The 16,745-nt window shown below is 39.2% G+C and overlaps 1 pseudogene, besides 1 other annotated feature; it reads left to right on the plus strand.

Moving 5' to 3' along the window:
• Positions 265 to 1,560, plus strand: LOC100130018 (prostaglandin reductase 1 pseudogene; annotated as a pseudogene).
• Positions 8,912 to 9,109: a silencer, noted in NCBI's record as "peak402 fragment used in MPRA reporter construct". NCBI's record gives its function as "represses an SCP1 promoter by STARR-seq MPRAs in K562 erythroleukemia cells {active_cell/tissue: K562}" and the evidence as "EXISTENCE:reporter gene assay evidence [ECO:0000049][PMID:32103011]".

Raw genomic sequence — 16,745 nt, forward strand, 5'->3', positions numbered from 1 at the left:
AATTCGATAAGGAGTCAAGACCCATTGATCGGTGTGCTGTATTTAGGAGACCCATCTCACATGCAAAGACACACATTGGCACAAAATAAAAGGATGGGGGGAAATTTACTAACCAAATGGAAAGCAGAAAATAAAAATTAAAAATAAAAAAAGGAGGGGTTGCAATCCTAGTCTCTGACAAAACAGACTTTAAACCAACAAAGATCAGAAAAGACAAAGAAGGCAGTCCCAGCCACCAACCCCAGACAGTGGAATCCTTGGGCTCCTGAGCTTCAGGATGATTCATGCTGAGATGGACCCTGAAGAAGCACTTTGTTGGCAATCCTACTAATAGTGACTTTGAGTTGAAGACAGCTGAGCTCCCACCCTTAAAAAATAGAGAGGTCCTGCTTGAAGCTTTGTTCCTCACTGGGGACCCTTACATGAGAGTGGCAGCCAAAAGACTGAAGGAAGGTGATACAATGATGGGGCAGCAAGTGGCCAGATTTGTGGAAAGTAAAAACGCAGCCTTACCAACAGAACTATTGTACTGGCTCCTTCAGGCTGGACAGCACACTCCATTGCTCATGGAAAAGATCTGGAAAACCTGCCAACAGAATGGCCTGACACAGTACCACTGTCTCTGGCTCTGGGGACAGTTAGCATGACAGGCCTCACTGCCTACTTTGGCCTACTTGACATCTGTGGTGTGAAGGGTGGAGAAACAGTGATGGTTAATGCAGCAGCTGGAGCTGTGGGCTCTGTTTTGGGGCAGATTACAAAGCTCAAGGGCTGCAAAGTGGTTGGAGCAGTAGGGTCTGACGAAAAGACTGCCTGCCTTAAAAAGCTTGGATCTGATGTCTTTAACTACAAGACAGTAGAGTCTTTGAAGAAACTTTGAAGAAAGCCTCTCCTGATGGTTACAATTGTTATTTTGGTAATGTAAGTGGATGGTTTTCAAACACTGTTATCTCCCAGATGAAGAAATTTGGAAGAATTGCCACATGTGGAGCTATCTCTATATATAACATATACATATCTACATATAACACCTGTAATCCCAGTACTTTGGGAGAATGAGGCAGGTGGATCACCTGAGGTCAGGAGTTTGAGACCAGCCTGGCCAACATGGTGAAACCCCCGTCTCTACCAAAAATACAAAAATTAGCCGGGTGTGGTGGTACCAGCCCACTTCCCCCAGGCCCAATCCCAGAGATTGTTAGATGTATCAGGAGCTTCACATGGAAGGGTTCATTGTGACCTGCTGGCCAGGAGATGCCCACCAAAAAGCTCTAAAGGACTTGCTGAAATGGGTCTCAGAGGGTCAAATCCAGTACCAGGAATATATCATTGAAGGATATGAAAACATGCCAGCTGCATTTATGGGAATGCTGAAAGGAGATAATTTGGAAAAACAATAGTGAAAGCGTGAAAAAAAATGACACATGGAATCTGAATGCCATTTAGGTGATTACTTGTTTTTCACCATTTAGCAAAAATGTGTACTACGTTAAATGTCTAAGAAATAGTACTAGTAACGGGTTTGACCTACCTAATAAAATACATTTAACTGGTATGTAATTAGTGATGGAGGATGAAAATTTCAGAGCCAACAACAACCAGCCACCTCACTGTTCACTACAGCTTCTTCTGAGTTGTGGTAGAAAATAATGGCTTTGGAGTTTGAAAGTTTATCAAACACTGCATGTTCTCACTCATAAGTGAAAGCTGTACAATGAGAAAACATGGATACGGGGAAGGGAACAACACATACTGGGGCCTATGGGGGGTGGGAGGAAGGAGAGCATCAGAATAAATAGCTAATGCTGTGGGGCTTAATACCTAGGTAATGGGTTGATAGGTGCAGCAAACCACCATGGTGTACGTTTACCTATGAAACAAACCTACACATTCTGCACATGCATCCCAGAACGTGAAATAAAATAAAAATTAAAAAAAAAGAAAGACAAAGAAGGGCACTACATAATGGTAAAGGGATCAATTCAACAAGAAAAGCTAACTGTCCTAAATATACATGAACCCAATATAGGAGCACCCAGATTCATAAAACAAGTTCTTAGAGACCTACAAAGAGACTTAGACTCTCACACAATAATAGTGGGAGACTTTAACACTCCACTGTCGATATTAGACAGATCAATGTGACAGAAAATTAACAAGGATATTCAGGACTTGAACTCAGCTCTGGATCAAGTGAACCTAATAGACGTCTACAGAACTCTCCACCTCAAATCAACAGAATATACATTCTTCTCAGCACCACATAGCACTTACTCTAAAACAGACCACATAATTAGAATTAAAACACTCCCTCAGCAAATGGAAAAGAACTGAAATCATAACAAAATTATCTTAGAATATAGTACAATCTAATTAGAACTCAGGATTAAGAAATTCACTCAAAACCACAAAATTACATGCAACTTGAACAACCTTCTCCTGAATGACTCCTGGATATATGACGAAATTAAGGTAGAAATCCAGAAGTTCTTTGAAACCGATGAGAACAAAGAGACAATATACCGGAATCTCTAGAACACAGCTACAGCACTGTTAAGAGGGAGATTTATAGCACTAAATGCCCATATCAGAAAGCTAAAAATCTCAAATTGACAACCTAACTTCATCATTAAAAGAGCTAGAGAAACAAGAGCAAATTAGTTTTAAAACTAGGAGAATACAAGAAATAAATAACATCAGAGCACAAATGAAGGAGATAGAAACACGAAAAACCCTCCAAAAAAAATCAATGAATCCAGGAGCTGGGTTTTTTTTTTTTTTTTGAGGTGATGGATACTTTATTTATCCTAATGTGATTACTACACCTTGCATGCCTGTATCAAAGTATCTCACGTACCCCATCAATATACATAGCTGCTATGCACCCACAAAATTAAAAACTTAAAAAGAAAATAAGCACTTTTGTGTAGCAGACACTATCAGAAAGTGAAAAGACAACCTATTAAATGAAAGAAAAAAAATTTTTTTTTATTATACTTTAAGTTTTAGGGTACATGTGCACAATGTGCAGGTTAGATACATATGTATACATGTGCCATGCTGGTGCGCTGCACCCACTAACTCGTCATCTAGCATTAGGTATATCTCCTAAAGCTATCCTTCCCCCCTCCCCCCCACCCCACAACAGTCCCCAGAGTGTGATGTTCCCCTTCGTGTGTCCATGTGTTCTCATTGTTCAATTCCCACCTATGAGTGAGAATATGCAGTGTTTGGTTTTTTGTTCTTGCGGTAGTTTACTGAGAATGATGATTTCTAATTTCATTCATGTCCCTACAAAGGACATGAACTCATCATTTTTTATGGCTGCATAGTATTCCATGGTGTATATGTGCCACTTTTTCTGAATCCAGTCTATCATTGTTGGACATTTGGGTTGGTTCCAAGTCTTTGCTATTGTGAATAGTGCCACAATAAACATACGTGTGCATGTGTCTCTATAGCAGCATGATTTATAGTCCTTTGGGTATATACCCAGTAATGGGATGGCTGGGTCAAATGGTATTTCTAGTTCTAGATCCCTGAGGAATCGCCACACTGACTTCCACAATGGTTGAACTAGTTTACAGTCCCACCAACAGTGTAAAAGTGTTCCTATTTCTCCACATCCTCTCCAGCACCTGTTGTTTCCTGACTTTTTAATGATTGCCATTCTAACTGGCGTGAGATGGTATCTCATTGTGGTTTTGATTTGCATTTCTCTGATGGCCAGTGATGGTGAGCATTTTTTCATGTGTTTTTTGGCTGCATAAACGTCTTCTTTTGAGAAGTGTCTGTTCATGTCCTTTGCCCACTTTTTAATGGGGTTTTTTTCTTGTAAATTTGTTTGAGTTCATTGTAGATTCTGGATATTAGCCCTTTGTCAGATGAGTAGGTTGTGAAAATTTTCTCCCATTTTGTAGGTTGCCTGTTCACTCTGATGGTAGTTTCTTTAGCTGTGCAGAAGCTCTTTAGTTTAATTAGATCCCATTTGTCAATTTTGGCTTTTGTTGCCATGGCTTTTGGTGTTTTAGACATGAAGTCCTTGCCCATGCCTATGTCCTGAATGGTAAAGCCTAGGTTTTCTTCTAGGGTTTTTATGGTGTTAGGTCTAAAGTTTAAGTCTTTAATTCATCTTGAATTGATTTTTGTATAAGGTGTAAGGAAGGGATCCAGTTTCAGCTTTCTACATATGGCTAGCCAGTTTTCCCAGCACCATTTATTAAATAGGAAATCCTTTCCCCATTGCTTGTTTTTCTCAGGTTTGTCAAAGATCAGATAGTTGTAGATATGCGGCATTATTTCTGAGGGCTCTGTTCTGTTCCATTGGTCTATATCTCTGTTTTGGTACCAGTACCATGCTGTTTTGGTTACTGTAGCCTTGTAGAATAGTTTGAAGTCAGGTAGTGTGATGCCTCCAGCTTTGTTCTTTTGGCTTAGGATTGACTTGGCGATGCGGGCTCTTTTTTGGTTCCATATGAACTTTAAAGTAGTTTTTTCCAATTCTGTGAAGAAAGTCATTGGTAGCTTGATGGGGATGGCATTGAATCTGTAAATTACCTTGGGCAGTATGGCCATTTTCACGATATTGATTCTTCCTACCCATGAGCATGGAATGTTCTTCCATTTCTTTGTATCCTCTTTTATTTCACTGAGCAGTGGTTTGTAGTTCTTCTTGAAGAGGTCCTTCACATCCCTTGTAAGTTGGATTCCTAGGTATTTTATTCTCTTTGAAGCAATTGTGAATGGGAGTTCACTCATGATTTGGCTCTCTGTTTGTTATTGGTGTATAAGAATGCTTGTGATTTTTGTACATTGATTTTGTATCCTGAGACTTTGCTGAAGTTGCTTATCAGCTTAAGGAGATTTTGGGCTGAGACAATGGGGTTTTCGAGATATACAATCATGTCATGCGCAAACAGGGACAATTTGACTTCCTCTTTTCCTAATTGAATACCCTTTATTTCCTTCTCCTGCCTAATTGCCCTGGCCAGAACTTCCAACACTATGTTGAATAGGAGTGGTGAGAGAGGGCATCCCTGTCTTGTGCCAGTTTTCAAAGGGAATGTTTCCGGTTTTTGCCCATTCAGTATGATATTGGCTGTGGGTTTGTCATAGATAGCTCTTATTATTTTGAAATATGTCCCATCAATACCTAATTTATTGAGAGTTTTTAGCATGAAGGGTTGTTGAATTTTGTCAAAGGCCTTTTCTGCATCTATTGAGATAATCATGTGGTTTTTGTCTTTGGTTCTGTTTATATGCTGGATTACATTTATTGATTTGAGTATATTGAACCAGCCTTGAATCCCAGGGATGAATCCCACTTGATCATGGTGGATAAGCTTTTTGATGTGCTGCTGGATTCAGTTTGCCAGTATTTTATTGAGGATTTTTGCATCAATGTTTATCAAGGATATTGGTCTAAAATTCTCTTTTTTGGTTGTGTCTCTGCCCGGCTTTGGTATCAGGATGATGCTGGCCTCATAAAATGAGTTAGGGAGGATTCCCTCTTTTTCTATTGATTGGAATAGTTTCAGAAGGAATGGTACCAGTTCCTCCTTGTACCTCTGGTAGAATTCGGCTGTGAATCCATCTGGTCCTGGACTCTTTTTGGTTGGTAAGCTATTGATTATTGCCACAATTTCAGAGTGTGTTATTGGTCCATTCAGAGATTCAACTTCTTCCTGGTTTAGTCTTGGGAGAGTGTATGTGTCGAGGAATTTATCCATTTCTTCTAGATTTTCTAGTTTATTTGCGTAGAGGTGTTTGTAGTATTCTCTAATAATAGTTTGTATTTCTGTGGGATCGGTGTTGATATCCCCTTTATCATTTTTTATTGCATCTATTTGATTCTTCTCTCTTTTTTTCTTTATTAGTCTTGCTAGCAGTTTATCAATTTTGTTGATCCTTTCAAAAAACCAGCTCCTGGATTCACTAATTTTTTGAAGGGGTTTTTGTGTCTCTACTTCCTGCAGTTCTGCTCTGATTTTAGTTATTTCTTGCCTTCTGCTAGCTTTTGAATGTGTTTGCTCTTGCTTTTCTAGTTCTTTTAATTGTGATGTTAGGTGTCAATTTTGGATCTTTCCTGCTTTCTCTTGTGGGCATTTAGTGCTATAAGTTTCCCTCTACACACTGCTTTGAATGCATCCCAGAGATTCTGGTATGTTGTGTCTTAGTTCTCGTTGGTTTCAAAGAACATCTTTATTTCTGCCTTCATTTCGTTATGTACCCAGTAGTCCTTCAGGAGCAGGTTGTTCAGTTTCCATGTAGTTGAGCGGTTTTGAGTGAGATTCTTAATGCTGAGTTCTAGTTTGATTGCACTGTGGTCTGAGAGACAGTTTGTTATAATTTCTGTTCTTTTACATTTGCTGAGGAGAGCTTTACTTCCTACTATGTGGTCAATTTTGGAATAGGTGTGGTGTGGTGCTAAAAAAATGTATATTCTGTTGATTTGGGGTGGAGAGTTCTGTAGATGTCTATTAGGTCTGCTTGGTGCAGAGCTGAGTTCAATTCCTGGGTATCCTTGCTGACTTTCTGTCTCGTTGATCTGTCTAATGTTGACAGTGGGGTGTTAAAGTCTCCCATTATTAATGTGTGGGAGTCTAAGTGTCTTTGTAGGTCACTCAGAACTTGCTTTATGAATCTGGATGCTCCTGTATTGGGTGCATATATATTTAGGATAGTTAGCTCTTCTTGTTGAATTGATCCCTTTACCATTATGTAATGGCCTTCTTTGTCTCTTTTGATCTTTGTTGGTTTAAAGTCTGTTTTATCAGAGACTAGGATTGCAACCCCTGCCTTTTTTTGTTTTCCATTTGCTTGGTAGATCTTCCTCCATCCTTTTATTTTGAGCCTGTGTGTGTCTCTGCACGTGAGATGGGTTTCCTGAATACAGCACACTGAAGGGTCTTGACTCTTTATCCAATTTGCCAGTCTGTGTCTTTTAATTGGAGCATTTAGTCCATTTACATTTAAAGTTAATATTGTTATGTGTGAATTTGATCCTGTCATTATGATGTTAGCTGGTTATTTTGCTCGTTAGTTGATGCAGTTTCTTCCTAGTCTCGATGGTCTTTACATTTTGGCATGATTTTGCAGTGGCTGGTACCGGTTGTTCCTTTCCATGTTTAGCGCTTCCTTCAGGAGCTCTTTTTGGGCAGGCCCGGTGGTGACAAAATCTCTCAGCATTTGTTTGTCTGTAAAGTATTTTATTTCTCCTTCACTTATGAAGCTTAGTTTGGCTGGATATGAAATTCTGGGTTGAAAATTCTTTTCTTTAAGAATGTTGAATATTGGCCCCCACTCTCTTCTGGCTTGTAGAGTTTCTGCCGAGAGATCCGCTGTTAGTCTGATGGGCTTCCCTTTGAGGGTAACCCAACCTTTCTCTCTGGCTGCCCTTAACATTTTTTCCTTCATTTCAACTTTGGTGAATCTGACAATTATGTGTCTTGGAGTTGCTCTTCTCGAGGAGTATCTTTGTGGCGTTCTCTATATTTCCTGAATCTGAATGTTGGCCTGCCTTGCTAGATTGGGGAAGTTCTCCTGGATAATATCCTGCAGAGTGTTTTCCAACTTGGTTCCATTCTCCATGTCACTTTCAGGTACACCAATCAGATGTAGATTTGGTCTTTTCACATAGTCGCATATTTCTTGGAGCCTTTGCTTGTTTCTTTTCATTCTGTTTTCTCTAAACTTCCCTTCTTGCTTCATTTCATTCATTTCATCTTCCATTGCTGATACCCTTTCTTCCAGTTGATTGCATCGGCTCCTGAGGCTTCTGCATTCTTCACGTAGTTCTCGAGCCTTGGTTTTCAGCCCCATCAGCTCCTTTAAGCACTTCTCTGTATTGGTTATTCTAGTTATACATTCTTCTAAATTTTTTTCAAAGTTTTCAACTTCTTTGCCTTTGGTTTGAATGTCCTCCCATAGCTCGGAGTAATTTGATCGTCTGAAGCCTTCTTCTCTCAACTCGTCAAAGTCATTCTCCGTCCAGCTTTGTTCCGTTGCTGGTGAGGAACTGCGTTCCTTTGGAGGAGGAGAGGCGTTCTGCTTTTTAGAGTTTCCAGTTTTTCTGCTCTGTTTTTCCCCATCTTTGTCGTTTTATCTACTTTTGGTCTTTGATGATGGTGATGTACAGATGGTTTTTTGGTGTGGATGTCCTTTCTGTTTGTTAGTTTTCCTTCTAACAGACAGGACCCTCAGCTGCAGGTCTGTTGGAGTACCCAGCCGTGTGAGGTGTCAGTCTGCCCCTGCTGGGGTGTGCCTCCCAGTTAGGCTTCTCGGGGGTCAGGGGTCAGGGACCCACTTGAGGAGGCAGTCTGCCTGTTCTCAGATCTCCAGCTGCGTGCTGGGAGAACCACTGCTGTTTTCAAAGCTGTCAGACAGGGACATTTAAGTCTGCAGAGGTTACTGCTGTCTTTTTGTTTGTCTGTGCCCTGCCCCCAGAGGTGGAGCCTATAGAGGCAGGCATGCCTCCTTGAGCTGTGGTGGGCTCCACCCAGTTCGAGCTTCCCGGCTGCTTTGTTTACCTAAGCAAGCCTGGGCAATGGCAGGTGCCCCTCCCCCAGCCTCGCTGCCGCCTTGCAGTTTGATCTCAGACTGCTGTGCTAGCAATTAGCGAGACTCCGTGGGCGTAGGACCCTCCGAGCCACGTGCGAGATATAATCTCCTGGTGTGCCGTTTTTTAAGCCCGTCGGAAAAGCGCAGTATTCGGTTGGGAGTGACCCGATTTTCCAGGTGCCATCTGTCACCCCTTTCTTTGACTAGGAAAGGGAACTCCCTGACCCCTTGCGCTTCCCGAGTGAGGCAATGCCTCGCCCTGCTTTGGCTCGTGCACGGTGCACGCACCCACTGACCTGCGCCCACTGTCTGGCACTCCCTAGTGAGATGAACCCGGTACCTCATATGGAAATGCAGAAATCACCCGTCTTCTGCGTCGCTCACGCTGGGAGGTGTAGACCGGAGCTGTTCCTATTCGGCCATCTTGGCTCCTCCCCCCCTTTTTTTTTTTTTTTGAAAAAAAAAAGACCACTATCTAGACTGATAAATAAGAAAAAAGAGAAGAATCAAATAGACACAATAAAAAATGACAAAGGTGATATCACCACTGACCCCACAGAAATACAAACTACCATCAGAGAATACTATAAACACCTCTACACAAACAAACTAGAAAATCTAGAAGAAATGGAGAAATTCCTCGACACATACACCCTCCCAAGAATAAGCAGGAAGAGGTCAAACCCTTGAATAGACCAATAACAACTTATGAAATTGAGGCAGTAATAGCCTACCAACCAAAAAAAGCCCAGGACCAGATGAATTCACAGCCAAATTCTACCAGAGGTACAAGTAGGAGCTGGTACCTTTTCTTCTGAAACTATTCCAAACAATTGAAAAGGAAGGACTCCTCCCTAACTCATTTTATGAGGCCAGCATCATCCTGATACCAAAGCCTGGCAGAGATACAACAAAAAAAGAAAACTTCAGGCCAATATTCCTGATGAATATCGATGCAAAAATCTTCAATAAAATACTGAGAAACCAAATCGAGTAGCCCTTCAAAAAACTTATCCACCACGATCAAGTCAGCTTCATTGCTGAGATGCAATGCAAGGCTGGCTCAACATACACAAATCAATAAATGTGATCCATCACATAAACAGACCCAAAGACAAAAACCACATGATTATCTCAATGGATGCAGAAAAGGCATTTGATAAAATTCAACATTCCTTTATATTTAAAACTCTCAATAACCTAGGTATTGATGGAACATATCTCAAAATACTAAGAGCTCTTTATGAAAAACCCACAGCCGATATTGTACTGAATGGGCAAAAGGTGGAAGCATTCCCTTTGAAAACTGATACAAGGCAAGGATGCCCTCTGTCACCACTCCTATTCGACACAGTATTAAAAGTTCTGGCCAGGGCAATCAGGCAAGAGAAAGAAATAAAGCGTATTCAAATAGGAAGGGAGGAAGTCAAATTGTCTTTGTTTGCAGACAATATGATTCTATATTTAGAAAACCCCATAATCTCAGCCCCAAAACTCCTTAACCTAGTAAGCAGCTTCAGCAAAGTTTCAGGATACAAAATTGATATGCAAAAGTCACAAGCATTCCTATACACCAACAACAGACAAGCAGAGAGCCAAATCATGAATGAACTCCCATTCACAATTGCTACAAAGATAATTAAATACCTAGGAATATAACTTATAAAGGATGTGGAGGACCTCTTCAAGGAGAACTACAAACCACTGCTCAAGGAAATAAGAGAGGACACAAAAAAATGAAAAAAACATTCCATTTTCATGGAATATTCAATATTGTGAAAATGGCCATACTGCCCAAAGTAATTTATAGATTCAATGCTATTCCCATCAAACTATCCTTGAGATTCTTCACAGAATTAGAAAAAACTTAATAAATGAAGACCCCGTTTTGCCAAGACAGTCCAAAGCAAAAAGAACAAAGCTGGAGGCATCATGCTACCTGACTTCAAACTATACTACAAAGCGATAGTAACAAAAACAACATGGTACTGGTACCAAAACAGTCATATATACCAATGGAACAGAATAGAGACCTCAGAAATAACGCTACACATCTACAACCATCTGATCTTCAACAAACCTAACAAAAACAAGCAATGGGGAAAGGCCTCCTATTCAATAAATGGTGCTGGGAAAACTGGCTAGCCATATACAGAAAACTGAAACTGGACCCCTTCCTTACACCTTGGACAAAAATTAACTCAAGATGGATTAAAGACTTAGATGTAAAACCTCACATTATAAAAACCCTAGAAGAAATCTAGGCAATACCAGTCAGGACATAGGCTTGAGCAAAGACTTCATGATGAAAACGCTAAAAGCTATTGCAACAGAAGCCAAGTTGACAAATGGGATCCAATTAAACTAAAGAGCTTCTGCACAGCAAAAGAAACTATCACCAGAGTGAACAGGCAACCTACAGAATGGGTGAAATTTTTTGCAACCTACCCATCTGATGAAGGGCTAATATCCAGAATTTACAAGGAACTTAAACAAATTTACAAGAAAGAAACAACTCCATCAAAAACTAGGTCAAGTACATGAACAGACACTTCTCAAAAGAAGACACTTACACAGCCAACACACGTGAAAAAAAGTTCAACATACTGATCATTAGAGTAATGCAAGTCAAAACCACAATGAGAACCATCTCATGCCAGTCAGAATGACGATTATTAAAAAGTCAACAAACAATAGATGCTGGCGAGGCTGTGTAGAAATAAGAACACTTTTACACTCTTGGTGGGAATGTAAATTAGTTCAACCATTGTAAAAGATAGTAAGGCAATTCCTCAAGGATCTTGAACCAGAAATACCATTTGGCCAAGCAATTCCATTACTGGGTATATACCCAAAGGAATGTAAATCATTCTGCTATAAGCATACATGCACACATATGTTTATTACAGCACTATTTATAATAGCAAAGTCATGGAACCCCCAAATGCCCATCAATGATAGACTGGATAAAGAAAATGTGGTACATATACACTGTGGAATACTGTGCAGTTATAAAAAGGCATGCGATCATGTCCTTTACAGGGACATGGATGAACCTGGAACCTATCATCCTCAGCAAACTAACACAGGAACAGAAAACCAAACACCACATGTTCTCACTCATAAGTGGGAGTTGAACAATGAGAACAGATGGACACAGGGAGGGGAACAACACACACCAGGGCCTGTTGGGGGTTGGGAGGCGAGGGGAGGGAACTTAGAGGACAGGTCAATAGGTGCAGCAAACCACCATGGCACAGGTATACCTATGCAACAAATCTGCATGTTCTGCACGTTTCCAGAACTTAAAGTAAAATAAAAATCAAAATAAAAAAATGAATACTAAATCAAAACTTTTCAGATAAACAAAAGCTGAGAAAATTAAGCAGAAGCAAGTCTACATTACAAGAAATGTTAAATGAAGTTCTCCAGACAAAAGGAAAATGATGTAACTTGCAAACTTATATCTACACAAACAAATGAAGAGTACTGCAAATAGTAGATATGTGGGTACATAAAAAAGACTATTCCCCTCATTTTTAAGATCTTTAATGGATAATTTAATTCTAAGATCAAAATAATTTAGCATGTGGTTCATAACACGCAGAAATAAAATGTATGACAACAATAGCACAAGGGACAGAATGGGGAATAAAATACTACTTTAAGAGTTTCAAATTATTTGTGAAATATCATTATAACATTTAAAAGTAGATTATAATAAATCAAAGATACATATTTTAAACCAAAGAGTAGTGTAGGCAAATGGAAAAATGTGAGCCAAATATGTAATTTCAAATTTTCTAGTAGCCACATTAAAAATCTAAAAAGAAACCGGTAAAATTAATTTTAATGATTTTATTTAACCCAACAAGAAAAAACTGTCATGACAAGAAAAAAGCTGAACAAATTAAAAATCACCAACTGAGATCTCCCAGAGAATTGAGGTCACAGGGCAAACTACCACTCCGAAAACCAGAGAGATGGGCAGATACAGTGAATCACAACTTACCAGGAGCAGAAACTGTTGAAATCAGTAACTGATAGGAACACTTAAATAGTAATTGACAAATAGCTACAGACTGATTGCAAATTAGCTTGAGAATTAAAAACTCCTAGTGACCCAGTGTAGGGTTCCCCACACTTATGATTTTACTTCTAAAAGCCCAACCAAGGGTCTCACAGTGAAGATGAAAGAAAACATCTCCTTGTGCTTTGGGAAGGGGAAAAGGGGAAAGCAACCCTTTTGAAATTGGCCCAGAGTGTTCTATTCTTCATAACAAAGACCTGCCCTCAACAGAAACTACTTTACCAGGGCCTTATCTGATCAAACATGGGGGCAATTAGACAACTCTAGTGCACTCTACCCATCTTGTCTCACATAAAGAAGGGGAAAAAAGGCTAAGAAATTATTCTGGAAGTTACATCCCAGGGACTTTGCTCATTTGAAAAAAAAAAAAAAAGATTTAAGCAGATGATTATAGAATGTTTCCCTTCCTGTCCTCCCCAATACTTTATTATTACAATAGGGCTCCAGTATAATAAAAGTAGATTATAACTGAGAGCATTAGAGACAGAGTCTAATTAAGAAGCCATTTCTAGGGAAATCCAAGGATGACAAGGTAGACAAAAACTAGGACACTAGAGGAAATTTAAGGCTCTGACACCTATAGCTACAGCAAATACTAAATACTGCATAACTCCTAGCCAGATAAACATAAAACCTTACACGAAAGCCCTATTTACCTCAGTTCCTATTAGTATACCACATACAGCTTTCAAAACAAAAACAAAAACTACTCAAGTCATCTTAAAATGCAGGAAAAGGCCAGGTGCGGTGGCTCATGCCTCTAATCCCAGCACTTTGGGAGGCCGAGGCGGACAGATCACAAGGTCAGGAGTTGGAGACCAGCCTGAAAAACAAGGTGAAATCCTGTCTCTACTAAAAATACAAAAAATTAAAAAATTAGCCAGGCATGGTGGCACTTGCCTGTAATCCCAGCTACTCAGGAGGCTGAGGCAGGAGAATCGCTTGAACCCAGGAGGCAGAGGTTGCAGTGAGCCGAGATCTTGCCATTGCACTCCAGCCTGGGTGACAGAGTGAGACTCTGTCAAAAAAAAAAAAGAAGCAGGAAAAAAGACAAGCAGTCTAAAAAGACAATATAAGCATTATAACCAGACCCAGCTATGACACAAATTGTTTTTTCTAGGCTGGAAATTTTAAATAACTATGACCTGTTAAGGGCTCCAAAGAAAATGGTAGACAACATGTAAGACCAGATTGGTAATGTAAACGGAGAGATGAAAACTCTAAGAAATAATCAAAAACACTGTGACAAAAATAAAGAATGCCTTTGATGGTCTCAATAGACTGAATATGGCTGAAGAAAGAATCCATGAACTCGAAGATGAATTAATAGAAACTCCCACAACATAAACGTAAAGACCAAATAGAGTGAAGCAATTACAATAGAACATCCAACTGTGAAACAATTTCAGTAAGTGTAGCACGCACAACTGAAATACCAGGAGAAGAAAAAGAATGGAGCAGAAGATATATTTGAAATAAAAATGTCCAAGACTTTTCCAAAATAATGACAGACATGAAACTGCAGTTTCAGTTAGCTCAGAGAACACCAAGCAGGATAAATGTAAAAAAAAACCCACTATACATAGGCATATCATATTCAAACTTCAGAAAAAGAGAAATCTTTCAAAAAAGCCAGAGGAAAGAACAACTTACTTACAGAGAAACAAGGAAGAGTATTACAGATAACTTCTCATCAGAAACCACACAAGCAGGAAGAGAATGGAGTGAAAGATTTAAAGTGTTGAGAGAAATAAACCCACTAACCTGAATTCTATATCTAGTGAATTTATTCTTCAAAACTGAAGGAGAACTAAAGACTATTTCACAGAAACAAAATTGAGAGGTCATTGTCAGCAGACCTTCCCCTGTAAGAAAAACTAAAGTTGTTCTTCACGGAGCAGGAAAATGATCTATGTCAGAAACTTGGATGCACAAAAGGAAAGGAAAAGTGTCAGGGAATGAAGTACAAGTAAAGTAAAATGTTTTGTTTTTCTTATTCTTAATTGATTGAAAAGATAATTATTTAAGGTAATAAGAGTGACAATGTATTGGTGATTGTATTCATATGGACAAATAAAATGAATGACAGTAATGTCATAAGAGATGAGAGGGAAAATTGGAAATAGTCTGTTATAGGGTACTTTCACTGCACATGAAGAGGAAGAAATATTAACTGTACATGTATATGGCAATCCATAGGGCAACTACTTAAAAAATTGAAAAGCGTAATTGATATGCTAAAAGAAGAGATAAAATGGAATCATATAAAACCAGAAAATGCAGAAAAAGAGATTTTAAAAAAGAACTGGTACAATGAATAGAAAACGGTTACAAACAGTAAATATTGATTCGACAATATCAATAATCACTTTAAGTGAGAATGGTCTAAATGTACCAATTAAAAGATTGTCAGAGTGGCTAAAAAACAAGATTCGACTATTGTATTTGAATACAGATGTGATTCCCAGTCTATTTTCAGGCAAGTTCTCACCACTGTTTGTTATTTGGTTTCCTGTCATTAAAAAAAGTTGACTAACTTCCCTACTAACTGGCATATTCAGACAGTAAAGAGCTTAAAGGAGAGGGGCTTTGAGCAGAATGGTGGCATCCTGATATAAGAGAGTAAGAGCAGGGAGCTAGGAGATGCATGAAACTGCAGCAAAGTAACCTCAGCCTCTGAATTCAAGTGCCCTTCAAGGAACTGAACTCATTTAACCATACTATCATATTTGGGAAGCAGGGATTATTACTTCCATTTCACATTTTGTGAAAACTGTTAAGTATCTTCTGTGTACTCCAGACAAGACATCCAGGCTCCAGGCCTCTCTTACATGGTCCAGCACTTATTTCATGGAATCCTCTCTACTTTGCCCTTCTGTATTCGCTAGTGCCCACTCCCTTGTCCTCTGCCAATTCCATCGTGGTTCTATAGGAAAATGGGATGTCTGTCATTCTCTGCAGCTGTGAACTTTGCATATTTCTTTGGCTTTAAAATATCTGGCCTGTAGTGATAAGGATTCAGCAAGCCACTGAAAAGCAATGGCACTTAAGAAAATCTCCGGCAACTCTGTCTTTTCCTCTTGCTTTCTCGGTCCTGCTCAAAGTTGTCTTGTTGGCAGGCAGCCACCTGTGAAATGTGCACATTTCAAAGCAAATGGCTCCAGGAGCTCATAATTGCTGCCAAACGTGTGTGGATTTTAATAGCCCATTTTCATTAGCCTTGTGTGAAATCACCTGTCTCTGTGTTGTTACCCAACTTAATTGTCAATTATGGTGATTAAGCTTGGCTTTCACTACCATCACTGGTAATCATTAGTATTATCTCTGAGGCTGAACGAAGGGAAAAAAATCATGCCAGAAAAAAATATCATTTTGTAGGTGAAGGTGAATATTTTGGTGTCAATGCATGAGGAGAATGGCATTTTTTTTTAATTTGGGCTGAACCAAACTTGAGTCTACCTGTTATTTCCAACCTGCCTTTTAGATGTGTTAGGACAAACGCTTCTCTTTTGTCACTTGGTTTTCTCTCACCAAAGAAGTGTTCCTGATGCCTATCCCTTTGCAATTCTCCTGAGATGAGCATAGGTAATTAAGACAGTAAGTTAGATAATTAATGCCTTTAAAATGCTTTCAGCAATGTCGGTGATTCCAAGTGTAATAGGTGGAGCCCTAGAAAAACTTGGGAGATAGCACAGAAAGTGCTGCCAATGTACAACTTGAGATTTTGATTGATGTTCTTTCTGCTTTCATCAGTCTCGTTAAATTTTAAGCACCTTACCTTGCCTTCTTGACTACAGGGTCATCTAATTTTGCATCTTGACTAATATTTTACTTTTTCGTGGAATTTGCAATGAACAATAATGAAAATCAACGACATTATCATTATCATCCTTTTCCTCCTTCTTTACAAATTTTAATTTAGTAAAATCCCAAACTCATTTCTGTTATGCTTTTATGGGATTTCAGGACATGGCAAAATAATGAAAGACATTTTTGAAAATGGTATCATTAGACATCATCTCTAGTATTTGAGTGCCATGTGTGTCCCCAAGGTTTATGACACTCTTAAGACTTGACAGTTTCCTTTATCTTTCCA

Source organism: Homo sapiens, chromosome 1 (genome assembly GCF_000001405.40).
Source record: "Homo sapiens chromosome 1, GRCh38.p14 Primary Assembly".
Taxonomy (NCBI): Eukaryota; Metazoa; Chordata; class Mammalia; order Primates; family Hominidae; genus Homo; species Homo sapiens.